At 48.7% G+C, this 23,681-nt stretch overlaps 1 protein-coding gene and 1 non-coding gene across 8 annotated transcripts in view, besides 9 other annotated features; both read left to right on the top strand.

Annotated features, from left to right (window-relative positions):
* The window catches only part of SSH1 (slingshot protein phosphatase 1), a 79,393-nt gene that overhangs the window by 276 nt on the left and 55,436 nt on the right, over window positions 1-23,681 (top strand). For 4 of the 7 annotated variants that reach the window (XM_005268985.3, XM_047429023.1, NM_018984.4 and 1 more), the window contains exon 2: window positions 4,630-4,670. The exons of 1 other annotated variant lie outside the window; for it this stretch is intronic. Coding sequence is in view for 4 of the 6 variants with exons in the window: in XM_047429023.1 (XP_047284979.1) it covers window positions 4,630-4,670 (41 nt within the window). In the remaining 2 variants the exon portion in view is untranslated. Of the gene's footprint in view, window positions 1-13; window positions 4,481-4,629; window positions 4,671-22,799; window positions 23,141-23,681 lie in introns of those variants that run through there. 2 more of the 7 variants (XM_047429021.1, XM_005268984.5) reach the window with 2 other exon arrangements.
* Window positions 426-475: an enhancer, noted in NCBI's record as "active region_6982". NCBI's record gives its function as "activates an Ori minimal core promoter by ATAC-STARR-seq in GM12878 lymphoblastoid cells {active_cell/tissue: GM12878}" and the evidence as "EXISTENCE:reporter gene assay evidence [ECO:0000049][PMID:35858748]".
* Window positions 528-1,029: an enhancer, noted in NCBI's record as "H3K27ac-H3K4me1 hESC enhancer chr12:109250055-109250556 (GRCh37/hg19 assembly coordinates)". NCBI's record gives its function as "activates a minimal SCP1, AML or CMV promoter by ChIP-STARR-seq in naive H9 embryonic stem cells {active_cell/tissue: H9 hESC(naive)}" and the evidence as "EXISTENCE:reporter gene assay evidence [ECO:0000049][PMID:30033119]".
* Window positions 2,144-3,343: an enhancer, noted in NCBI's record as "P300/CBP strongly-dependent group 1 enhancer chr12:109247741-109248940 (GRCh37/hg19 assembly coordinates)". NCBI's record gives its function as "activates an origin of replication core promoter dependent on BRD2, BRD4, P300/CBP, MED14 and CDK7 cofactors, with strong dependence on P300/CBP, by STARR-seq in HCT116 cells {active_cell/tissue: HCT116}" and the evidence as "EXISTENCE:reporter gene assay evidence [ECO:0000049][PMID:35650434]".
* Window positions 6,299-6,368: a silencer, noted in NCBI's record as "silent region_4836". NCBI's record gives its function as "represses an Ori minimal core promoter by ATAC-STARR-seq in GM12878 lymphoblastoid cells {active_cell/tissue: GM12878}" and the evidence as "EXISTENCE:reporter gene assay evidence [ECO:0000049][PMID:35858748]".
* Window positions 6,379-6,428: a silencer, noted in NCBI's record as "silent region_4835". NCBI's record gives its function as "represses an Ori minimal core promoter by ATAC-STARR-seq in GM12878 lymphoblastoid cells {active_cell/tissue: GM12878}" and the evidence as "EXISTENCE:reporter gene assay evidence [ECO:0000049][PMID:35858748]".
* Window positions 6,469-6,518: a silencer, noted in NCBI's record as "silent region_4834". NCBI's record gives its function as "represses an Ori minimal core promoter by ATAC-STARR-seq in GM12878 lymphoblastoid cells {active_cell/tissue: GM12878}" and the evidence as "EXISTENCE:reporter gene assay evidence [ECO:0000049][PMID:35858748]".
* Window positions 17,652-18,253: an enhancer, noted in NCBI's record as "H3K27ac-H3K4me1 hESC enhancer chr12:109232831-109233432 (GRCh37/hg19 assembly coordinates)". NCBI's record gives its function as "activates a minimal SCP1, AML or CMV promoter by ChIP-STARR-seq in primed H9 embryonic stem cells {active_cell/tissue: H9 hESC(primed)}" and the evidence as "EXISTENCE:reporter gene assay evidence [ECO:0000049][PMID:30033119]".
* Window positions 18,247-19,446: an enhancer, noted in NCBI's record as "P300/CBP strongly-dependent group 1 enhancer chr12:109231638-109232837 (GRCh37/hg19 assembly coordinates)". NCBI's record gives its function as "activates an origin of replication core promoter dependent on BRD2, BRD4, P300/CBP, MED14 and CDK7 cofactors, with strong dependence on P300/CBP, by STARR-seq in HCT116 cells {active_cell/tissue: HCT116}" and the evidence as "EXISTENCE:reporter gene assay evidence [ECO:0000049][PMID:35650434]".
* Window positions 18,813-18,942: an enhancer, noted in NCBI's record as "active region_6981". NCBI's record gives its function as "activates an Ori minimal core promoter by ATAC-STARR-seq in GM12878 lymphoblastoid cells {active_cell/tissue: GM12878}" and the evidence as "EXISTENCE:reporter gene assay evidence [ECO:0000049][PMID:35858748]".
* MIR619 (microRNA 619) lies at window positions 20,302-20,400 on the top strand. Its single transcript, NR_030350.1, has one exon. It is a non-coding gene; the product is annotated as a microRNA 619 (primary transcript).

The following is a 23,681-nucleotide window of genomic DNA, read 5'->3' as shown; positions in this document are numbered from 1 at the left end:
TAGGAACAGAGCCGGGCAGCCGGACCGGGGTGACCGTGCGAGGACTGTGTGCGATGTGACCCTGTCTTGGGGAGCTGTGCGGGGACTTTGTGTGCGGTGTGACCCCTATCGGGGGGCGACTTTGCAGGGACTGTGTATGCAGTGCGACCCCTCTGGGAGTGTCTGCAGGATACTGTGTGTGCGCTGTGACCCACATCAGGGGGTTACCCCCATCTTGGGGTGACCCCTGTTAGGCGGAGACTGTGTGCGTTGTGACCCCTAAGGGTGACTGTGCAGAGACTGTGTGTGCAGATGTGACCTCGTGATTGTGTGGGGACTGTGATTTCAGGTGTGACCCCCATCTTGGGTTGACCTCTGTCTGGGGAGGACTGTGCGTCTGTCGGGACTCCCATTTGTGAGTGACTCTGCAGTGTGACCAGGGTCCAGGGGTGACTGGATGTGCAACTGGGACCCTTGATTGGGTGACTGCGTGAGCCGCTGGTTCTGAGACCTGTGGCCGGGGTAGTTCTAGGCCCTTTGCCTGTATGCCTGGCTGTGCGATGTGAGATGTGACTGTTGCTGACCTGCCGTCCGGGGACTGTGCCAGCGTGAGACAGGCATCTGGGAGTGCCCCTACAAACGTGTGAGATTGTTTCCCCGCCTGCCGCCTCTGGAGTTCTGTCTGTAGGCGTGCCCGTGTCACTGTGTGACGGTGACCGAGCGTGCTGTGGGCTCTGTGTGGCTGTGTTTCACGTCTGTGCGTGCAGCCTTAGTCTGGCTTTTCCTTTCTGTAACATCACTCAGGCCTGTGTGTTTATGTGCATCTATCTTTCTGTGTGGCTGTGACCCATTCTGGGTGATTGCATAGGTGCATTCCTGGGTTGCGTGTCCTGGCACTGTGCGCGTTTTTGTGGGTCTGTGTGTGGCCCAGGTCCGTTTGCCTGGCCACTTTTTCCTCTGGGGTTGATTGAGGGCACTGTTGCCCTCTTAGCCTGCAGGGTTGGCCTGGCTTGTCCTAGGCTGGGGCCTTGGGCCTCTGAGCAGGTCAGCCCTCTGTAGCTGCAGGGATGACCCTCTGGTCGCGCAATCTTGCCCACCATCTCTTGAAGAACCCGTCAAGGCCTCTGGTCTAAACTCTTACCTATAACAAGGCTGAGTGTCCGCCTGCAGACCCTTAGCTGTGTTTAGAGAAGACTGGAGGAGCGGCCCTGCGGTCCCAGGCCCAGGAAGTTCCGCAGCCAGCATCTGGGCTCTTCAGCCCCTTTCTTTGTGGGAGGGAGTGGGGGAAGTTGACTGATAACACGGGGGAGGTTTGTGTGTCTGAGAGAGACAAGAGAATAATGTTTGCATTTGGCTTGACAGCCCTGTCTCCTGGTAGGGTAGTTCTTCAGCCTTGTTTTGCTGGGATTGGCAGGGACATTTTCAGAGTGGCTGGGAAGTTGAACCTTCACAGCCCCCTCCTTGGAGAGGAGAGGCCATTCATGAGTTATCTATACACAGAAGGTTCTAGTAATCCCCCTCTACACGCTGATTAGAGGCAAAAGAACACTGGCGATCAATAGCCTGCTACTGAGAAGTTAGGTTGCAGGAGCGCCTTTCCTTCCCACAGCGAGGAGGGGCTGTTTTCTGTTCCGGTCACTGCTGTCTGGCAATTTATGCACTTAATCTCAGGTTCTCATCACAAAAGTTTATGTGAGGTAAGGGGAGAGGTTGGCTTCAGGCTGAACCTGTCAGCCCAGATTTCTGATTCAAAACCCCATGTTCCTAGAGTTACTTGCAACCTAATCTGTTCTTGTCTTACGCATTTTAAGGTCTTATTATTTTTTAGTTACATACCATAAATTTGCCATTTTAAAGTGTACAATTCAGTGGTTTTTAGTATATACATGAGATTGTGCAACCACCACCATCTAATTCCAGAACATTTTCATCCTCCCCAAAATAGGAACCCTGTACCCGTTAGCCCTCACCTGCAGCCTCCCCCTGCCCCATTCTCCCTAACCTTAGGCAACCACTAATCTACTTTCTGTATCTATGGATTTGCTTATTCTGGACATTTTATATAAATGGAATCACACCCTGTGTGGCCTTTTGTGTCTGGCTTCTTTGACTCAGCATCACGTTTTCAAAGTTCATGCATATTGTAGCATGTGGCAGTACTTCATTCCTTTTCATGGCTGTATAATACTCCATTGTATGGATGTACCACATTTTGTTGGACATTTGTGTTGTGTCTACTAGATACATTTTCAATTATTATATAAAGCATTATTTTTACCAAGTGCCAATGACCCTGATAAACATAAAGTAAAACTCAGGCAGCTTTTATTTGATCATAGCAAAGCTGCAGCATTCATTGCTTGGCTTTGAATGCGCTGGGATGTTTCCCGAAGGCAAGGCCCTCGTTCAGATGTGTTGAGGTGAGAAGCAAGGTGGGATGGAGACAGCAAGTGTGTATGGGGTCAGGAGACCTAGGCCAGGCCGGTTCTGCCCTGGTCCGCCCTCGCTTGAGTTGCTTCCTGTGTGTGGGCCCTGGCTCATCTAAAAGGACTGAATTACCTCTTTCATGTGTTCCTTGGCAGATGTAGTTTCCCTGGAATAACTGACCTGAGATGGCCTTTCATCTGAGAACCTCAGAGAGTGACCGAGAGTTAAATGATTGTGAAGTCCGTACCCCCAAGTCACGTCATCACTCTTCAAATTGCAACTTCATAATGAGTCAGACACTTAGGGCAGTGCTTTCCTGACACAGCCAGGCCTGCTGCCGGCGTGGGAAACGGGGGATCACAGCCCTCAGTCCTAAGGCTCTCTTTTCTCTTTTAATTTTCTTTTTTTCCCAGTCTTTGATTATGTCACTTATGTCATTTTCCTGTGAATCTTATCTCAGTTCCTTTGTGTGAACAGGCAGAGCACAAGAATAGATAAATCAATAATTTTCAGGAATGGATCATAACATTGTTATTTCTGAGAAACATTCAAAGTGACTAATTTTCATGGGCAGATCTCCAGGCACTTTTTTGGATTGGACCAGAGTTTCTCAACCCACTGTTGATACTTGGGACCAGAACATTCTCTCTTGTGGGGGGACCATCCTGTGTGTTGTGGGATCCTGTCCTCTACCCACTAGGTGCCAGTAGTGACCTCCAGAAAAATGCCTCCAGACATCTTCCAATGTCTCCTGTTGAGAGAACTTGCTCCGCATTGAGAACCACTGGGTTAGACCCCAACATACTCTTTGTCAATTTGTTGCTCTTGTGACTTGTTTTGTGGTCATTGAAGCCTTCCCTGCTCTTTCCACTTCTCCTTCAGTGTGGGGTAGGTGCCTCTGCAGAATCTTGTATGTACTTCATCTTAATATGATGTAGGGACTCCCAGGCCCTCTGGTGTACGCTTTTTTTTTTTTTTTGAAACGAAGTATTGCTCTTTCACCAGGCTGGAGTGCAGTGGTGCAATCTCGGCTCACTGCAACCTCCGCCTCCTGGGTTCAAGTGATTCTCCTGCCTCAGCCTCCCAGGTAGCTGGGATTACAGGTACATGTCACCGTGCCTGGCTAATTTTTGTATTTTTAGTAGAGACAGCGTGTCACCTTGTTGGCTAGGCTGGTCTCGAACTCCTGACCTCAGGTGATCCGCCCACCTCGGCCTCCTGCAGTGCTGGGATTCCAGGTGTGAGCCACTGCGCCGGGCTGGTGTACTCATTCTTGGTTGAAGTTGCCACCTCCTGGTGGGTGTCCCTTGCTGCCCAGGCCCCTCCCTACATTATCTCTGGACCCTTTTTCCTTCGCCCTTGGCTCCTGCCTCATTTCTGTCCTCGATCAGCCCTGCATCTCTCCCAGCCATCACAGCTTTCCAGGTTTCTCTTTCCCATTCAATGGGCGCCTCTGTGCAACATAAAAAACATGCCAAGTCCCAGCGGTGCGGAGTTGTTTGGGGGGTGTGTATGTGTTTCCTTCTTATTTTCAGTTTGCTCTCTGAAAGAAAAAAAATAAAAATAAGTCATAGGTACTTCTGGAGCCCAAACTCGTGGCCTTTTAGATTTCAGAAAATATTAAATATCTCTTTCTTGCATTTATATAAATAAACCGATAGCCTAGGATGTTTCGTATCAAATGTTTAAGTCTTTTCGAGAACCATCAAGAGCTTTCAAGACCCACAAACAGACGGCCTGATTCCTGGCCACCTTCCACTGTGCAAGTCTTGCCTGGGTTGGTTTTTTGAAAATGGTGTTCATCACTCAGCTGTTATTGCCTGGCTCTGCGGAGGAAGTGGATTCTCTTTAAACATGACCCCCTCCCCTTAAAAGAGAAAAACAGGATAAGGTCCAGAACAACCTCGGAAAGTTGAGGGCTGAGGGCTAAAAGACCGTGCTGGGTAACAACACCAGATAGGAAATGTTGAGCTAACAGGACTCCATCCCCTGGACTGCGGCAGGAATGTGGGTCAACATTTGGAAACCTGAAAATTCCCCCACGGAAATGACTCCAAGGGACAGACCGGGATTGGTGAGGAAAGGGCACGGCTGTTTAGAAGTAGCTAGGTTTCCTGGATATCTTTATCTTTTTCCAGTACCGGGGTAGAAAATGTGAGACTGCCGCCCGAGGCGTGTTGACAGTGGTGCCTGTGGTGTGATATTCTCTTTCTTTCTCTGTAGTTGGAGGCTGGCAGCGAAGAAGATCGAAAATTAAACCTCAGGTAAGCAGACTTTCAATTCTTGTTCCTAAGTCTTTCTCCCAAGCAGGTAAGGAATGCTCTTGTTCCTCTCCCAAAGGGAAAACGTTCAAAAAGAATATGCCAATTTTGGGCTGGGTGCGGTGGGTCACGCCTGTAATTCCAGCACTTTGGGAGGCTGAGGCGGGTGGATCACAAGGTCAGGAGATCGAGACCATCCTGGCCAACATGGTGAAACCCTGTCTCTACTAAAAAAACAGAAAAAATTAACCGGGCGTGGTAGTGTGTGCTTGTAGTCCCAGCTACTTGGGGGGCTGAGGCGGGGGAATCGCTTGAACCCGGGAGGCAGAGTGAGCCAAGATTGCGCCACTGCACTCCAGCCTGGCGACAGAGCAAAACTCCGTCTTAAAAAAAAAAAAAAAAGAATATGCCAATTTTTTAGTGCTTTAGAAATTATACCTAAAACACATAAAACTGAAGTGCTTTAAAATCCATACATATGTCTAGCCACTTTAATAATATTATATAACGCTTGGAAAAGAAGGAAAATAATTGCCATTATTCTACCACCCTTACATTACCATTTTGAGCATTTTTTGGTAACTTATTATTTTCTAATAGAGACAAGGTCTTGCTGTGTTGCCCAGGCTGGTCTTGGACTCCTGGCCTCAAGACATCTTCCTGCTTGGCCTCCTGAAGTACTGGGATTACAGTCATGAGCTACTGTGCCCGGCCTAACTTGAGCATTTTTATGTATTTTCTTGCAGACTATTCTTCTGCTTAAAAAAAAAAGTAATAATCATGACACTCTGCCCTCACTTTTTCATCTTGCTTTTGGTAAGGTGTTCCTTTTGCGGTAAGCACTTTGCTGATTTGAAACAGATACTCAACCCCCTAAAGGTATCAATTCAGGGTGCTTTAATTGTGCTTATGAGAAATCTTTAGCTCTGCTCATTTAAAAGATTCCAAGATGGCAGTCCTCAGCTGATGTATTCACTAATGGACACCAAAAACATTTTTGTTTTTTCTTTGCCAAAAATTAAGTTCTGCCTTTGTTTGGGTGTTTTGTTGATTTATGGAAGATTCAGCCCTTTGTTATATTAATATCATGTATTCCTTCATACCAAGGAGCCAGTCTTAAACTCTGACCTCATAGTTTTAAAAAAAGTAAATAAATTTTCAGGAATATTGTTCTTTAAAAAAAAATAGTCTGTTTTATCTCATGAGGGGAAGGAAAATTAATTGGAAAAGGAAATATGTGTTCAGAAATTGGGGTCAACCATTCATTACCGACAGCAGGGTGTTCTGGTCAAACTCATATGCAGAACTGGTAGAAATATGCTCAGCTTTTCTCCGATGTTTCTGTGTGCTTGAGTGAAGGGAGGGGAAATACTCACTTTTATTACGGCACACATGATTTCTAAAGATTATGTGGGTAGGGAAACACTAGCCTGCAAGAATCAAAGAGATTCCTTATTTCTGGGTCCTCGCTGGGGGACTTCTGCTGGGTCCTCACTTTTAATGTTATGCTCAAGATACAGGACACATTTGCTCCATCACCCTGGGGTTTTTGATTGGTCAGGTCAGGGCCCACGTCAGGGTTCCCAGGCTAGAAGCAGCTGGATTCCCAATGGGGGCAGTCATGGGCCGAGTTGCAGATCAGACTGTCTGGGTGGAAGCAGGGAGGGGTGGAGTGGAAGTCTGGAGACTGACTGTCGAGGAGGAACTGAAAGAGGGGCTTGCCCACCTCACAGCGGCTCCTGTGGGCGCCCAGCTCCCTTCCCCCCAAATCTCCCCCAGATGCCTGCCCCCAACTGCCCTCCCCACCAGCTCCTCTCTCCACCTGTTCTCCTCCCCAAAATCCCCTTCCCCAGATCCCTCCCTCCAGGTTCCCCTCCCCCGACTCCCCATCTCTCTTCCCCACTCCCCTCCCCCAGATCCCCTCCCCAAGCTTCCCTCCCCCAAATCCCCTCCCTAGATCCCATCCCTAACCATCCCTCCCCAATCCCCTCTCCCATCTCCCCTCCCTGAAGTCCCCTCTCTGAGCTCCCCTTCCCCCAGCTCCCCTCCCTAAATCCCCTCCCCAAGTTCCCCTCCCTCAGCTCCCTTGCCCCAGATTTCCTCCCTAGATCCCCCTCCCCAAGCTCCTCTCCCATTTCTCCTCCCCATCTCCCCACCCCCAGCTCCCCTCCCTAGATCCTCTCCCCAAGCTTCCCTCTCCCAGATCCCCTTCCCCAGCTTTCCTCCCCCATCTCCCCTCCCCCATCTCCCCTCCCCAAGCTCCCCTCTCCCAGATCTCCTCCTTAGCTCCCCATCCCCACGTCCCGTCATTGAGCTACCCTCCCCAAGCCCTTTTCCCCCAGCTCCCTCCTGGAGCTCCCCTCCCCATCTCCCCTCCCCCAGCTCCCTCCTGGAGCTCCCCTCCCCATCTGCCCTCCCCCAGCTCCCTCCTGGAGCTCCCCTCCCCATCTTCCCTCCCCCAGCTCCCTCCTGGAGCTCCCCTCCCCATCTCCCCTCCCCCAGCTCCCTCCTGGAGCTCCCCTCCCCATCTCCCCTCCCCCAGCTCACTCTTGGAGCTCCCCTCCCCCATCTCCCCTCCCCAATGCTCCCCTCCCCCAGCTCCTTCCTGGAGCTCCCCTCCCCATCTCCCCTCCCCCAGCTCCCTCCTAGAGCTCCCCTCCCCATCTCCCCTCCCCCATGCTCCCCCTTGGAGCTCCCCTCCCCCATGCTCCCCTCCCCCATGTTCCCCTCCCCCAGCTCCCTTCTGGGCTCTCCTCCCCATCTGCCCTCCCCTAGCTCCCTCTTGGAGGTCCCCTCCCCCATGCCTCCTCCCCTGGCTCCCCTCCAGCCCTTTCTTGGGGTTGGAATCTCTTCCATCTCTTGTCTCTCTCAGGGCTGTTGTTGATGAGTGAGTACTGAGCTCTGTCACTTAGACTGTCTTTGGGGCAAAGAGCTATTTTTATTTTTTAGTTACCTTTAATAGCTTATAGCATAGTGTTTTCAGTTAATAAGAACTTATAAATAGCAGTGACATGAAAATTTGTATGTGGACCTTTCTCATTAGTATTTAACCTTTTTTAAAATTAAAACTTTTTATTTTTATTTTTTAGAGACAGGGTCTTTGTTGTCCAGGCCGGAGTGCAATGGTGTGATCATAGCTCACTGCAGCCTTGAACTCCTGGGGCCAAGCTATCTTCCCACCTCAGCCTCCCAAGTAGCTGGGACTACAGGCGTGCGCCACCACACCTGGCTAATTTTTTTAAATGTGTTTTGAAGAGATGAGATCACACTGTGTTGTTGAGGCTGGTCTCAAACTCTTGGGCTTAAGTGATCCTCCCACCTCAGCCTCCCAAAGTGCTGGGATTACAGGCGTGATGACAGTCACTGCACCTGGCCCTTTTCTTGCTAATAAAAGGTCCCTTTCTCTTCTAGTTGGGAGCTGCAGGGGACCTTACAAAGGGATGGGAAATAAAGCTTTGGCAGCTTTCCATATTCTCAAAACAGCCCTTGGAGGGGGGTTTTCCCGGTTGGTGGCTGAGGCCCAAGATTGGAATTGGGAAATCCTGTATTTGAAGCGAGACCTCTAATGCCAAGTTGATCCTACTCTGCCGCCTTTCTGGGGACCAGGTTAGTAGTACTGTTGAATTAGCTGTCTTGGACATACAGGTGAGGGAGCATGCCTAAGTCCACTGGGGTGGATTAGCAGCAGCGCCAGGGCCAGCACCAAGGACTCATGCCAACTGGTGGCAGGTGCCTCCTGGGATGTTGGGTCATTCTGACCACCACCGAGAGTCCTTCCGTGCCACTGTCAGCAGGTCCCCAACACCATTGTGACCACAGGGAGACCCTGGGCTGGAGTTGGAGACCTGTGTTCTCATTTAGGGTGGGATGCTGGGCTCTGGGCTTGTCCCCCTAGGTGCCCTTTTAAACCCCTCTTCAGCCACCTTGACGTCACACTCACCTTTTTAGGCACAGGACACCATCCTGCCTCCTAGCCTTCCTCGCTACACAAGAAAAGTTGTGTCCTGGTTTAAGCTTTGACTGAAACTCATTCACATCCGTGTGTTAATTTGCATTTTCAGGCCTCTTCTCTCTGAATCTCTCCTAGAGAAGAAAATTATGGAATAGTTGGTTGCTTTCTGTTTGGGGTCAGGAGAATTAGGGAGAGATTTCTCTTTGTTTCCAATGGATCCTGAAGGTGAGCTGCCATCACCTCATCTCTAGGAGGTGCTGTAGGGAGAAAAACTGGAGGTAGCAGGGTATTTCTCTCTCTTTTCTCCCCTCCGTCTAGCCTTAATTAATAGTTTCATCTTTTGGGTCATCGAAAAAGTCAGCTCTGATTCATCCATATCCAATAAATTGCAGGGTCACATGGATCGGGTCTTCCGAGCCACCTGCCTTCTTTTTCTCAAGTTCCCTGGTGGCGCCTCTTCAGGTCCTCACATCTCTTCTGTCCCGTCACAGAGGAACACCTCAGACCCATCCTCTCTACCTTGGCATATCACCCCCTGGTCCCTTGATGCTTCTTCCTTCTGGTCCTCGGAGTCTTTTCTGAGCTCCAGCGTCACCGGCGTTGGTGGCCTTTCCACCCTCCCCTCTCGCATGTGCCTTTTCCAGTCCATTGGGACTACTCCCTGCTCCCCCGTCACACACGTTCCCTAGGCCAGTTCCTTTTCACCTGGCTGTAGTCCTCATGACCAGCTAAAAGTGCGCCTGCCCCAGATATTTGTGATTTCCCTCTCTTCAGAGAAAGCAGGGAGCCCCTGGCATCCCTATCTGTGACAGGTGCCACACCCGCCTTACAATGCAGGTCTGTGTGCCCTTGTTGTATCCCTAACTGCTCTCAAATCCCTTAGTGACGGCCTCATTTCTCTGCCTTTGTGTAGCATTTAAACAGTTTAAATGGCTGGGCACGGTGGCTCACATCTCTAATCCCAGCACTTTGGAAGGCCAAGGCGGGACGGATCACTGGAGCTCCGGAGTTCGAGACCAGCCTGGCCAACATGGTGAAACCCCCTTTCTACTAAAAATACAAAAATCAGCCGGCCTGGTGGTGCGCTCCTGTAATCCCAGCTACTCGGGAGGCTGAGGCAGGAGAATTGTTTGAACCCGGGAGGTTGCAGTGAGCCGAGTTTGCGTCACTGCACTCCAGCCTGGGCAACAGAGCGAGACTCTGTCTCAAAATAAGTAAGTTGATAAAAGTGAACAGTTTAAATGGATGAACCTTTGACCCTGCAGTAAATTCCAGACATGTAGGAGAAACAGCCAGGTGTAGAGGGAAGGCAGTGGGGTTCTGAGTCAGGCAGACCTAAGTTTGGCATCTGGCTCCTGTGCTGGTGGCTGAGTTCCTTTACCTTTGTGTGTTCTTACAGCTCTGTGGGTCTCAATTGTTCCACCTATAAAACAGGGATGACACTGTGACCTTTCAGGGTTGTGGAGTAGTTGTGTGATGTTCCTTGTCTAGGCCAGGCCCAGTGGCTCACGCCTGTAATCCCAATACTTTGGGAAGCCAAGGTGAGTGGATTGCTTGAGCCCCGTAGTTTGAGACCAGCCTACACAACATGGCAAGACCCCATCTCCGCAAAAAAAATAGAAAAATTAGCTGGGCATGGTGGCGCACGCCTGTAGTCCCAGCTACTCAAGAGGTTGAGGTAGGAGAATCACTTGAACCCAGGAGGTCGAGACTGCAGTGAGCTGAGATTGTGCCGCTGCACTCCATCCTGGGTGACAGCAAGACCCTGTCTCAAAAAAAAAAAAAGTTCCTTGCCTAGAATCAGGTCCACAGTGGGCTTGGTTGCTGTGCTCGGTCTTCACAAAGTATTGCTGATGTGCAGTGTTAGTTCACGGCAGAGGAGAATTAAAGGGGCCGACTCCTGCAGGTGCTGGGTCCAGGCCTGAGAGGGCGCCCACCATGGATGCCCTTTGACTTGAAGCAGCCTTCCTCCTTTACCCGGCTACATTCCTATAAGATGCAAATAAGAATACAGACTTGGAGGAAGCAGTGTTGTAACTCAGACAGTATTTCTGAAGGCCTTCTGGGAAGTGTCTCAAGAACTGATCATCTCACACCCAGCATGCAGATGATTGCAGCAGAGCAGTATAGATCCATTTCCCTCGCTCTCCCCTGCCTTCTGCATGTGCAGGCTGCTGCTGGCCGCTCGTAGTCCCTCTTTGGAAGCTGTGCCGTTCAGACTGTGGGAATTGGTGAGCAGATGGCCCTGCTGGCAGCAGCTCCTGGCTCCCTTGCCATCCCGGGAGCTGGCTCAGTCTGGCATGAGACATAAGTAGTTGTGGGCTAGGTAGGACACTGGGGAGATAATATTGTCCCCAGGGTGTGGATCAGGAGTGAAGTTTTTTTTTTTTAATCCAGCATTTCCAAGTCAATTGCGGGAACGTGGTCATTAGAATTATTATAATTTGCTCATTTGTGATTGCCTGCCCTAGCAAAGGTTTGGGCCAGAGCGAGCTGCAGGATTTTGTCTCTTCTGTTTTATTTGGTTTCAGTGGTAAACTGTGAACTCCCTGACTCCTCTGCCTTTCTCTCCGCACTCCCTTCCCCTTTTGGTCTCCACTTGGAAGTCCCCCAGGGACCCCATTCTCCCTACAGCCTTTTGAAGTGTGGTTTTGCCTTCACCCCCTCCCCTACAGTGTCAGAGTGGATGGGGGTTGGCATGTCATTGCCCTGCAGACCATGCTTCCCCTCTTCATTGAACACCCCTACTTTTGCACCTGTCCACACTCTGGGGTTCCTCCCTGCCCTTGGCAGTCCATCTTAGCCTGGGCTTTATTGTCTTTGTTGCTTGTCTGTCCAGTTAAGTCCTGCCAAGAGGTGTCATGCACCCCGTGCATCCAAGTTCTGTGTCCGTACTGGAGATGGATGTGTGCATAGGTTACTGTATCAGTCATTGCCTGCTGCATGACAAGTTACCACTAACTTAACAGTTAAACAATATATGTTTATTTTGTTTAAATTTGAAATGGAGTTTCGCTCACGTTGCTCAGGCTAGAGTGCAATGGCGCAATCTCAGCTCGCTGCAACCTCCGCCTCCCGGGTTCAAGCGATTCTCCTGCCTCAGCCTCCCAAGTATCTGGGATTACAGGCGCATACCACCACACCTGGCCAATTTTGTATTTTTAGTAGAGACAGGGTTTCATCATGTCGGGCAGGTTGGTCTCGAGCACCTGAACTCAGGTGATCTGCCCGCCTTGGCCTCCCAAAGTGCTGGGATTACAGGCATGAGCCATCATGCCTGGCCAGCCACCGCACCCAGGCCATGTTTATTATCTCACAGCTTCCATGGGTCAGGAATCTGGACACGGTATAGCTGGGTTCTCTGTTCGGGAACTCACAAGGCTTGCTGGCCGGGGCTGAGGTCTTGTCTGAACCCCAGGGTCCTCTTTTAAGCTCACGTGGTTCTTGGCTGAATTCATTTTCTTTTTTTTTTTACTTTTTTTTTTTTTTTTCTGCTCTGTTGCCCAGGCTGGAGTGCAGTGGTGCGATCTCGGCTCACTGCAGCCTCTGCCTCCTGGGTTCAAGTAATTCTCCTGTCTCAGCCTCCCGAGTAGCTGGGACTGTAGGTGTACCCTGCAAATTTTTGTCCTGTCTCAGCCTCCCGAGTAGCTGGGACTGTAGGTGTACCCTGCAAATTTTTGTCCTGTCTCAGCCTCCCGAGTAGCTGGGACTGTAGGTGTACCCTGCAAATTTTTGTATTTTTAGTAGAGATGGGGTTTCACCGTATTGGTCAGGCTGGTCTCAAACTCCTGACTTCAGGTGATCCACCCGCCTCAGCCTCCCAAAGTGCTGGGATTACAGGCGTGAGCCACCACGCCTGGCCTGAATTCATTTTCTTGCAGCTGTGGAGAATTCGTGGTGCTTGCTTCTTCAAGGCCAACAGGAGAGTCTGCTTCTGTAGGGTCTTATGACAGATTGTTATCACTGGAATGACTGTCTTACCGCCTTTAATGTGCAGCACAGCCTAATTAAGGGAACAGCTCTCCCATCTTGTTCTCTGGTCCCTCCCACATTCAAAGAGAAAGGCTCACTCGGGTGCATGCACCTAGCAGAATTCTGCCCACCAGTCAATCTGTGTGTGTTCTAGGGATGCCCCCAGTCTAACATAGAACACATGTAAACAAGTAGGCTTCCATTCAGCGTTACAGATGTGCCTAGTTTGGGGATGGTAAGGGGTGCCTGGTGCTCATGGGAAGAGACCAGAAACACGGGGAGCGAGCCTTGCAGAGTCTGACATCACCCTGGTAAACACTGGTCCCCTCCACTCAGCACCCACATGCTTGTTCATGCTCTGAGGCTTAGTGTCTCTTGGATTTGCCCCCACCTTGAACATGCTGGCCTTAAAAATAACCGCCCATGTTGATTCTTATTTTTTTTTTTCTATGATTTTGGACTTAGGGAGGGATGGGCATGGGTTTGGCTCCTGTGTCTGTCCTTTGTCACCTCCTAGGCTATTATATGATCTCGGGCAGGCCTTAGTTTCAAATGGCCAGTATAGTACACAGCTTGTAGGGTGGTTGTCAGAATTAAATGTGCTCATGATGCGAACCCCTTCTCCCATAGTAGACATTCAACAAATGCCCCTGCCCGTACTTCCTTCATGGTAACAGCTTCTGTTGGGAATGATTCGTGTCTTCCTTTTTCTTCTCACAGGCGTTTTTCTCTCCTTAGTGTTTCCTTGGTGTTTGGTACTTGCTTTGTAGTATATGTACTTAGGTACAGAAATATTTCCTGTAATGCAGGACTGGCTGCGTAATTTGTGAAGCCCAGTGCAAAATGAACATGGGAGAGCCCCTTTTAAAAACATTATTAAGAGGCTGGGCTCAGTGGCTCACGCCTGTAATCCTAGCACTTTGGGAGGCCGAGGCGGGCGGATCACTTGAGGTCAGGAGTTTGAGACCATCCTGGGCAACATGGTGAAACCCTGTCTCTGCTAAAAATACAAAAATTAGCCGAGTATGGTGGCGCGTGCCTGTAATCCCAGCTACTTGGGAGGCTGAGGCAGGAGAATCACTGGAACCCGGGAGGTGGAGGTTACAGTGAGCTGAGATCACACCACTGCATTCCACCCTGGGCGACAGAGTGAGACTCTGTCTCAAACCAACAAACAAACAACAACAACAAACATTATTAAGAATTTCAAGATGGCACCAACAGAGTATTAAACCAAGCACGGGGCCCCTCTGAGCACATATGAAGAAGCTGGCCCTGCCCACTAGACCGTGAGCCACCCTAGGGACAGGGCTGCCTGACCTCCTGCCTCACAGTGCCCAGTTTGCCCTGGATAGGCCCTAGAGGTCTTGTAAGTTGAGTATTGTTTCCTGTTGAGCAACTAAAAGTGGTCTTGGACTTTCAGGAAACAAAGGACAGAGAAATTCTTCCCACCGTTGCCTCCGTTGCAGTTTAGTAATATCGGTGCTGTTAGATCAGTCTCAAGACCCCTCTGTCCTCATCTGTCTGCTTGTGAGCTATTCATTCAACAAATATTTTTTGAGCTCCTACTGTGTGCCAAGCCCTGTTTTAGGGGCTGGGAATATAGCAACAAACAAAATAAAAATTCCTGCTCTGGAAGCTGACATTCTGTTGAGGAGACAAGACAGTAAATAAAATAAACAAGCGCAATAATCGTGTGTTGGTAAGTGCCCAGGCGAAAAAATAAAGCAGGGATGGAGGAGAGAAAAGGGAGCACCCATACTCCACTCTGTGATTGCCTTGTGTGCATTATTTCAGTTAATCTTTGTGAAAACCCTGTAAGGACATTTGAATTCCCATTCCCTGGAGGAGAAGACTAAACCCCAGAGAGGTCAGTGGCCTGTTTTTATTTAGTAGTAAACGGTAGAGCTGAGACCCTCATACTCCATGTCTCATTGACTCCAAAACCTGTGCTCTTCACCCCAAAATCCAAGCACTGTCTTTTCCTCCTCCCTATGCATCAGAACCCACACTGGGAGACAGAATGGAGTTTATCAGAAGAACCAGGCTTTGCAGTCCATTCTTCCTGGTGAGCCATTAGCGGCATCACTATGTGCTTGGGCAGGTCCCGTCAACTCCCTGAGCTGTACTTAAAGCAGGGATTGTCACGTATCCCCTTCATGTGCTGCAGCCCGGAGAACATCCGGGTGGTAATGAGGCCAGCTTCTGCAGGCTGCAGGCTCTGGGCTTGGAACTTTTGCACTTGCTGTCATCTTGTTGTCACAAGCCTGCAAAGTAGGGACTCTCCTCATTTTAGGAAACCAGTTCCACGAGGCTGGTGGGAGGCCTGAGCCAGGGTTTGAATGCAGGCTGCTGTGATTCAGGGACCTGAGTCCTGCCCTAACCCCTGTGGCCTTGTAGGTAGTGGCCTCCCATTGACTCCCACTTTTAAACATTGGGGCATATTTAAACATTGGGGTCATTGTGCTGTTTGGCTGTTCCTTTTGGTTTAACTCGGGTTTTATTTCTGCAGTTTGTTGGAACGTTTGATTTGAAAATCAGAATTTGCCTTCAATTTTTTTTCCCTCTCTCTCTCTTTTCTTCTTTTTGAGACAGAGTCTTGCTCTGTTGCCCAGACTGGAGTACAGTGGCATGATTACAGCTCACTGCAGCCCCGACCTCCTGGGCTCAATTGGTCCTCCCACCTCAGCCTCCCAAGTAGCTGGGACCACAGGTGCACACCACCTTGTATTTTTGGTAGAGACAGGGTCTCACTGTGTTGCCCAGGCTGATCTTGAACTCCTGGACTCAAGTGATCTGCCCACATCGGCCTCCCAAAGTGCTGGGATTCCAGGCATGAGCCACTGTGCCTAGCTATATATATATATATATATACACACACACACATATATACTTTTTTTTTGTGGGGGGGGATGGAGACTTGCTCTGTCACCAGGCTGGAGTGCAGTGGCACGATCTTGGCTCACTGCAACCTCTGCCTCCAGGGTTCCAGTGATTCTCCTGCCTCAGCCTCCCGAGTAGCTGGGATTACAGGCATGCGCCACCACCCCTAGCTAATTTTTCGTATTTTTAGTAGAGACGGGGTTTCACCATGTTGGCCAGGTTGGTCTCGAACTCCTGACCTCAGGTGATCCACTCGCCTCGGCCTCCCAAAGTGCTGGGATTACAGGCGTGAGCCACTGCACCCGGCCCTATATATTTTTTTTAATTAGAAAACTCATTCTAGAATGGGGACAAATGAGGACAGAGACGTGAAGAGTTAATTCTGTCAGAACTTAATTAAACTTTTCATTAAGGTTAACGTAAAACGAATTTTGCTCAGAGTCTAGTAGGTTTCATTAAACTTTCGAAACACCAGTACTTAGACTTCAAAAGAACGCCTCAGGGCTCTGGTCTCCTTCCTGTGCACTTAGCACATTGCGTGAGCGTGCACGCATGCATGTACACACCAGGAATGTGCGTGCAAGCTCAGCTCGTAGGTAGCAGTGTTACCAGCGTTCATCTTCATGATAAATGGGGCAAAGCTGTGAGACGGAGTCAGACAACCTAGGGTCCATCTTGAGAGGCGTCATCTGCTGTGCAACCTAAGGCAACGCCTCTTCACTTCTCTGGGTCCCTGTCTCCTGCTATGTAAAGTGAAAAGACAAGATTAGGTGATGGCCTCCAAATTTAAGAATGAGTCCTCAGACCCACCAATCTAGATCTGTGTTTATATTGTGCTGCTCATCATTTGCTGTGTATTTGTAACTGACTATCACGAGTTTTATTCCCACGGTGAGAGCAAGGTCATGCGCTTATGGGGGTCTAGCTGGGTCAGGGCTATGGTCTGACCCTGCAGTGGAGAAAACCAGCCGGGCTACTGAGAGGAAGTGACCCTCTGCTGGGACTCACCTCCTCCTCCGCAGGGCTTAGCCTGCCGCGTCTGCCCCCAGGAGCAGAGCCATACACAAAGCAGCGTCCGTTTAGAAAGAAAGTACTCGCATCTTTAGAACTCATCTTTGGCATTCATTGTTCTGTGGTCGGATCTCTGGATTTAGACAGCTTATTAGAAAATTCCTGAGATGAGGAGGACATCCAGATGGGTCATGCTGCTTCAAGGAAGGCTGAAAATGAGAAACCAGGATTAATCAAAATAGGATTAATCAAAATCCAGAGGAGCCATTTTCTTTTTTTTTTTCTTTTTTTTGAGACAGTCTTGCTCCGTCACCCAGGCTAGAGTGCAGTGGCACGATCTCGGCTAACTGCAACCTCTGCCTCCTGGGTTCAAGTGATTCTCCTGCCTCAGCCTCTTGGGTAGCTAGGACTATAGGCTTGTACCACCATGCCTGGCGAATTTTTTGTATTTTTAGTAGAGATGGGGTTTCACCATGTTGGCCAGGCTGGTCTTGAATTCCTGACCACAAGCAATCCAACCACCTCGGCCTCCCAAAGTGCTGGGATTACAGGCATGAGCCACTGCGCCCAGCCCCCGAGAGGAGCCATTTTCAAAGCGAACTGAGCGATTGGGCTGGAGGGTGCGGGGGCTCCTGCTTTGTGGGTGTAGTCAGTGTCGGGATGCAGGGTGATGTGCTTATGAGGAAGCCACGCTGGCCAGCCTGCAGTGTGGGGGCAGAATTGCAGTGAGATACAAGAGACTGCCGCATAAATGAGGACATGCCGGGAGAGCCTGCGTGTGGTCAGAGCGGGGCTTCTGGATGGGGCATCGGCCTTGCCACTTAGCTCACTTGCATGTCTGACCCTGGGCCCACCACCTGCCTTCCTCCTCTCAGGGCCCTCCTGAGGCCTCCAGAGAGTCTTGTTCTGTGTACAGTGTCTGGCCCTGGCCTATACCCAGTGGCCATCATTTTCAGTGCCAGCCCTTCCTGCCGCACTTGTTCCCCTCCAAAGACCAATGTTAACCAAGTGACACCTAAGAGGAAAAACCCAGCCTTGACCTGTTTTCCTGCAAGTTCCTCTGAAACCTGTGCCAGGCTTTTATCTGGGAAATATCATTCTTGAGTGCCTTTACTTTTACAGTTTTTTTTTTCTTTCTTTTCTTGAATGGTTACTTTTGAAGCTATTTTTAGAAAGACTTTGTTTCAGAGAAGGCTGTTCAAGGTCCTGTGTTAGGAAATGCCTGGTCTCTCCCTGTGCCCACAGAAGTCATTCCTGGTCCAGGCCTGGCACGCACTTGCCAAGAGTCCTCGAGGCGTGTTTCCCCAAATCTGGGCCCCATCAGAATTCCCACAGGAAGGGGCCTTCAGTGTGGTCTGGAAAGAGCCAGGCTGGCTGCAGCATCTGGAAATCACTTGTCACTTCCCCAGTGGCCAGGCCCACCCGTGCCACGCTGTGTCTGTTGCAGCTGGGAGTCTAGGAGTGGCTCTTTAGGTCTGGAGTCAAGGCCACTGACCTGTTGGCTGCCCCTACAGCAAGAAGGCTCCCTAAGGAACCTAATTCCCAGGCCCTGGGGACTCCTGACCAGGCCCCACCTCATGAGATGGAAGGGAAAAGAACCTCTTGTGAAACAATATGGTAATGGAGGTGGTTTTTACTTAGCTATTGGCTTTTTCCATTCAGCCCATGTGTATTTAGTGCCTAAATATGGGTTCTTTGCCAAATGCCAGGGATTCTGTGTGGAGTCAAAAAGAGTCCTTATCCCTCAGGGGTAATGTGTGTTGTATCTACAGTAGTGCCCTCCAAAAAGGATTTGAAACACCTTACAACATTCATAGAGAACAATAGAATGTAACATTAGTGAGAAAATCGGGACACGAAGAAAGCAGAAGAAAATAAGATGAAGTAAGGGGAAGGTTTGTACATGTAATACATGACATAGCATTGGTATGGTTACCAGAATTTGGCCACAGATCTGACTTTGAGTTTCCTGGTAGTCAAAGCAAAGAGAGAAACAAGACCAATCTCTTGATTCTTGGTGTCCTGAAAATACCAGCAGATCAGTTCCTCGGAAGAACTCTTCCTGATAGATACCTGTGGTGTTCACAAGGAAGCCCAGCATAATGGATGGACAAGCAAGTTGTCTTAACAGGGAGAGCTGATGCTGCATGCCTATCCCACCAATTACCCTGGGTATTTGTGGTCTTAAGAGGTGAGGTCAGCAGCAGCACTTGGTGCCAGAGCTGCTGGCCGCCCCAGCACTGAGACAGGATGCTGAGTCACATCCTGCAGGGCTGCGGTATCCTGGCTTCGCGTGCCCTTCACAATAGGAGGCCTGCACGGGCAGGTCAGCCCCTGCTGTTCCAAACATGTGGTCTCCGAGCAGGAAAATGCTAAAATTAGATCTTACGTGGTCCAGAGCCGTGTATGTGAGAGGCCCTCAAAACCTGGACACACACAGACCAGGAAGACCTGGGAGAGCAGAGCTCTTCATCGTTCTCTTCTGCTCTGGGCACGAAACAGGGCCACTTCTGTTCTGGAAAACACGAAGAGGGCAAACAGTGCTGAGGCAGGGAAGGTCTTGCTTGGTGAGGGTAAAACTATGCAAGAGATGAAAGGGCAAAGTCATGAAATATGCCCATACCAGTGATCAGTAAAATCATCTGAAGCTTTTATTACCTACCGATAAAGAAAAATTACAGGTCGTGTTTTACCAAAATCGAATTAAGTGGAGATTTAAAAAATAACTTTAAAAAATTTGGCTGGGTATGGTGGCTCATGCCTATGATCCCAGCACTTTGGGAGACCGAGGTGGGAGGATCTCTTGAGCCTAGGAGTTCAGTACCAGCCCTGGCAGCATAGTGAGACCCTGTCTCTACAAAAAAATTAAAAAATTAGCTGGGGGTGGCAGCACACACCTGTAGTCCCAGCTACTTGGGTGGTTGAGGTGGAAGGATCGCTTGAGCCTGGGAGGTGGAGGCTGTGCTGCGTGAGCCGTGGTCGTCCCACTGCACTCCAGCCTGGGCGACAGAGTAAGACCCTGTCTCAAAGGAAAAAAAAAAAAATTGGTAACTCGAAAACTTGTAATGCTCCCAACACATACAAATGATTAATACTCAAGGTCATGGATACCCCAGATACTCTGACTTGGTCATTACACAGTTTATGCATGTAACAAATACTTACATGTTTTCCATAAATATGTAAAATACTACGTCGATAAAAAATTCTCGTTAATTTTGAGATAATTTCCAGCTTACATAAGAATTGCAAGTACAGTGAAAAGAACTTTCTTTTTTGAACCATTTGAAAGTAATTTGTCAACCTGCTACTCCATTACCCTTGGAATACAGACCAGGGCATTCTCCCACAGAACCGCAACACAGCCATCCACGCGGGACACTGACTCTGATGCATTCCCACCGTCTAGTCCTCTAACCCCATTCAAGAGTCACCATATGTCCCAGCGTTGTCCTTCATAACAAAAGATCCAATTCAGGACTGCCCATTGCATCTAGTTATCCTGTCTCTTGGCTCTCCTGCAGTCTGGAACCTTCCTCAGTCTTTCTTTGACTCTTGTGGCCTGGATTTTATTTTATTTTTTTATTTTTTGAGTTGGAAACTCACTCTGTCGCCCAAGCTGGAGTGCAGCGGTGATATCTCAGCTCGCTGCAACCTCCACCTCCCGGGTTCAAGCGATTCTTGTGCCTTAGCGCCCCAAGTAGCTGGGATTACGGGCATGCTCCACCACGCTCGGCTAATTTTTGTATTTTTAGTAGAGAATAGGGTGTTGCCATGTTGGCCAGGCTGGTCTCGAACCCCTGACCTCAAGTGATCCGCCCACCTCAGCCTCCCAAAATGCTGGGATTACAGGCATGAGCCACTGCGGTCGACCATGACCTGGACATGTTTGTGCCCAGTACTGTCAGTTTGCAGAGTGTCCCTCAGTGTGAGTGTGTCTGATGTTCTTGTGTGATTCCACCGGGCACGTGTATTTGGCTGGAACATCACCCAAGGGATGCTGCGTCCTCGTTGAATCCCATAAGGTGGCACTTGATTTCCTTTTGTCCCACTATGGTGACATTCACTTTGGTCACTAAGGTGGGTTTTACCAGGCTTTTCCACTGTACAGTTATTCTTTTCCCCTTCATCATTCAGAAGCATTCCTTGGAGAGATACTTTAAAATTATGTTAATATCCTGTCTGCCATCAATGTCCGTTTCAATTCTTTGTATTTTTCTGTTTTATTCAGTGGTTTATAATCTGCTCTTAAATTGTTGACATCCTTGCTCAAATTGTCCTTGTGGACAGTTAGGGCCAGTGGGATCTCATCCAGGCTGGCTTCTGTGTCCCTTTGACATGTCCACATCATTCTTTAAGTGCTTTCTTGCTTTCTGGCAACAGATGCTCCCTACCCACCTGTGGAATCAGTCCTTTATCCAAGGGGCTCTGGTTCCTTTTAGTGGAAAATGAAATTTAGGAGCCAAGCTAGGTCTGCTTATTGCTGTTGGGGTGTTGCTAACCACAGGCCTCTCAATGGGCAGAATTAGGGAACATTTGTATGTACGTGCATACACACACACGTGCATCTATATTTATTTCAATAGGTTGAAAACTATGAGTTCAGACTGGTACCTTCAATTCTGATGCAGCACCTTGGGGTTCATTCTAGTTTTGTCTCTCCATATTCATGACTCCCATTGTCCCTGAAATATTAATAAATATTAACATTATGCATATTATATAAACTTAGGTATTATTTATATTATATAGTATATATTTGTTAATATTGATTATATTAATATTAATATAATCGATTATATTAATATAGTTATAATCGATTATATTAATATAGTTATAATCGATTATATTAATATAGTTATAATCGATTATATTAATATAGTTATAATTGATTATATTAATATAGTTATAATTAATTATATTAATATAGTTATAATTAATTAATATAATATGTATATATGCTATATATCATAAATATATTAATTATAAATATTAATATTAACATTAATGTTTAATATTTCATTCCTTGCCTGTGAGCAGTCTCTGTCTCCCTTGCAGCCCCCTCCCTGCACAGATGCCCTTTGCACCCTGCTTGCCAACAGACACCTCAGCTTGGGATCCCACACCCCCTCCCCAACTCAGAAGCTTGCCCTGCCCTTCCCCGCCAAATGGTTTTTAGGTCTGAATTGTTGGGAGGAGAAGTGGACTTTTTTGAGACTGTTTTCCAGAGGTATCAGTTCAGCTGAAAGCCAGTGCCTAAGAGCAGAGGTTTCAGAGTTACACTCCTGCCTTCCCCTTCCTGCTTCCCGGCTCCTTGGTCTCATGAACTTGGGCAGGTGACTTAACCTCCCTGAGCCTCAGTGTTTGTTTGTTTTGTTTTCTGTTTTTTTGTTTTTTTAAGACGGAGTCTTACTCTGTTGCAGTGCTGTGGCACAATCTCGGCTCACTGCAACCTCCATCTCCTGGGTTCGAGTGATTCTTGTGCCTCCCAATAGCTGGGATTACAGGAGCACGACACCACGCTCGGCTAATTGAGCCTCAGTTCCCGTATGTATAAAACACTGAGAGATGGACACTGGGGAATAAATGAGTTAACATACCTGATGTGCTTAGCATAGCGCTCAACGAAGATGTTATTGGTGTTACATTTATTGATGTCCACTGTTTTCTGGGCACTGAGAGGGATCCTGAGACAGAGAAGTCATAGGCCTAGCTCTCCAGACACTCAAGGTGATGTGGGGAACTTAGCTGCTGTTGTGTTATTTGAAGCACTCAGTTGTCAGGAAGACCTGACCTGACCTCCAGGTGGCTTTAACTCGCACGTGGCATGATGCTGTGAGTCTTATTTGCCAGGTTCAACCTGTGTGTGGGGAGTGCCCAGTGTGCCCAGGGCACAGAGATGACCAGGGTGAGTTACTCCTGGAATACTGACTTCAGAGAAGAGCACAGCTTGGCCAGTGTATCTACCAGCACTTACTTTCAATCTACTGTATGTCAAGCACAGAGGGAGATTTAAAAAGCATGTGCATCCTGGCCCTCACATCCCATTGTGAAGTTAAAATATACTGGCAGGAAGATGGCTTCACCACTAGTTAGTAAATAAGTGGGTCAGGGAACACGATTTGGAAATGAGGGAACTTGGGTTCCTAGGTTCCTATCACTAAGGGTGGTCTTTCCTTCAGTATCCAAGGGGATTGGTTTCAGGACCCCCGCCTTTGCCGAGGATAACAAAATCCATGGATGCTTAAGCACCCGCAGAACCCACTAATTCAAAGAGTTCAGCATCCCTCAAATACTGTATTTTCTGTCTGTAGTTGGTTGAATCCACTGATGAGGAACCCGCGGATACAGAGGACCGACTGTATGTGACCTTGAGCAAGTGACTTAACCCTTAAGCCTCAGTGTCCTCACCTGCACAGTAAGAGGAGGTGCTAGAAGATGTTGAAAGGGAGGAGCTATAGCTCACAGCGAGGGCCACAAGAGAAAGCTTCCTGGAGAAGGCATAAACACTGGAAGACAGGCATGACGTCGGGAGGCAGATGGGAGGAAGGACACCATGAGCCGAGAACCACAGTAGGCTTTATGGGGACAGTGCTATAGCTGGGGATAGAACAGAGAATGCGAAGCATGGAGAACAGGGGGAATAGTGCGAGAGGTAATACAAGAATGGTTTTTTATTCTGAAATACTGTTTTCTAACTATATTCTAAGCCCCTAAGGTCAGGACATAGCAGATGAATGAAATTTAGGTTAACGACATACAATGGCTAATTGTGGCAACCCATAGAGAGTTAGCACAAGAAGTTTGGACTCTAATCAATAGATGATGTCACATGGCTAAAAGTTCTGGGGCTGGGAAAGAATGTCATGAGAGCAATGGTTAGCGGCTGTGCAGAGTGGGCGAGAGGCCAGGGAGGCGCTTGTCCTGATTCTTCTCACCAGGCCAAAAGCTTCCGGAGCTCTGCTGTCCTATACCACAGCTGATAGCCTCATGTAGCTAATTAAACTTAAATTTAAATTAACTAAAATGAAATAAAATGACAAACCCAGTTTCTTGGTCACACTTACTGCATCTTAAGTGTTCAGTCAACACATCTGGCCAGTGGCTCCCATACTAGACAGAGAGTGGGTAGAGAATACAACAGCCCTGGCCTTCAGGGACATTCAGAGAATGCAGCACAGAGCCGGGTGCACCGT

The sequence above is a fragment of the Homo sapiens genome, chromosome 12, assembly GCF_000001405.40.
Source record: "Homo sapiens chromosome 12, GRCh38.p14 Primary Assembly".
Lineage (NCBI taxonomy): Eukaryota > Metazoa > Chordata > Mammalia > Primates > Hominidae > Homo > Homo sapiens.
Note: the sequence above shows the minus strand (reverse complement) of the source record. Positions and strands in the feature narration are given on the sequence as shown.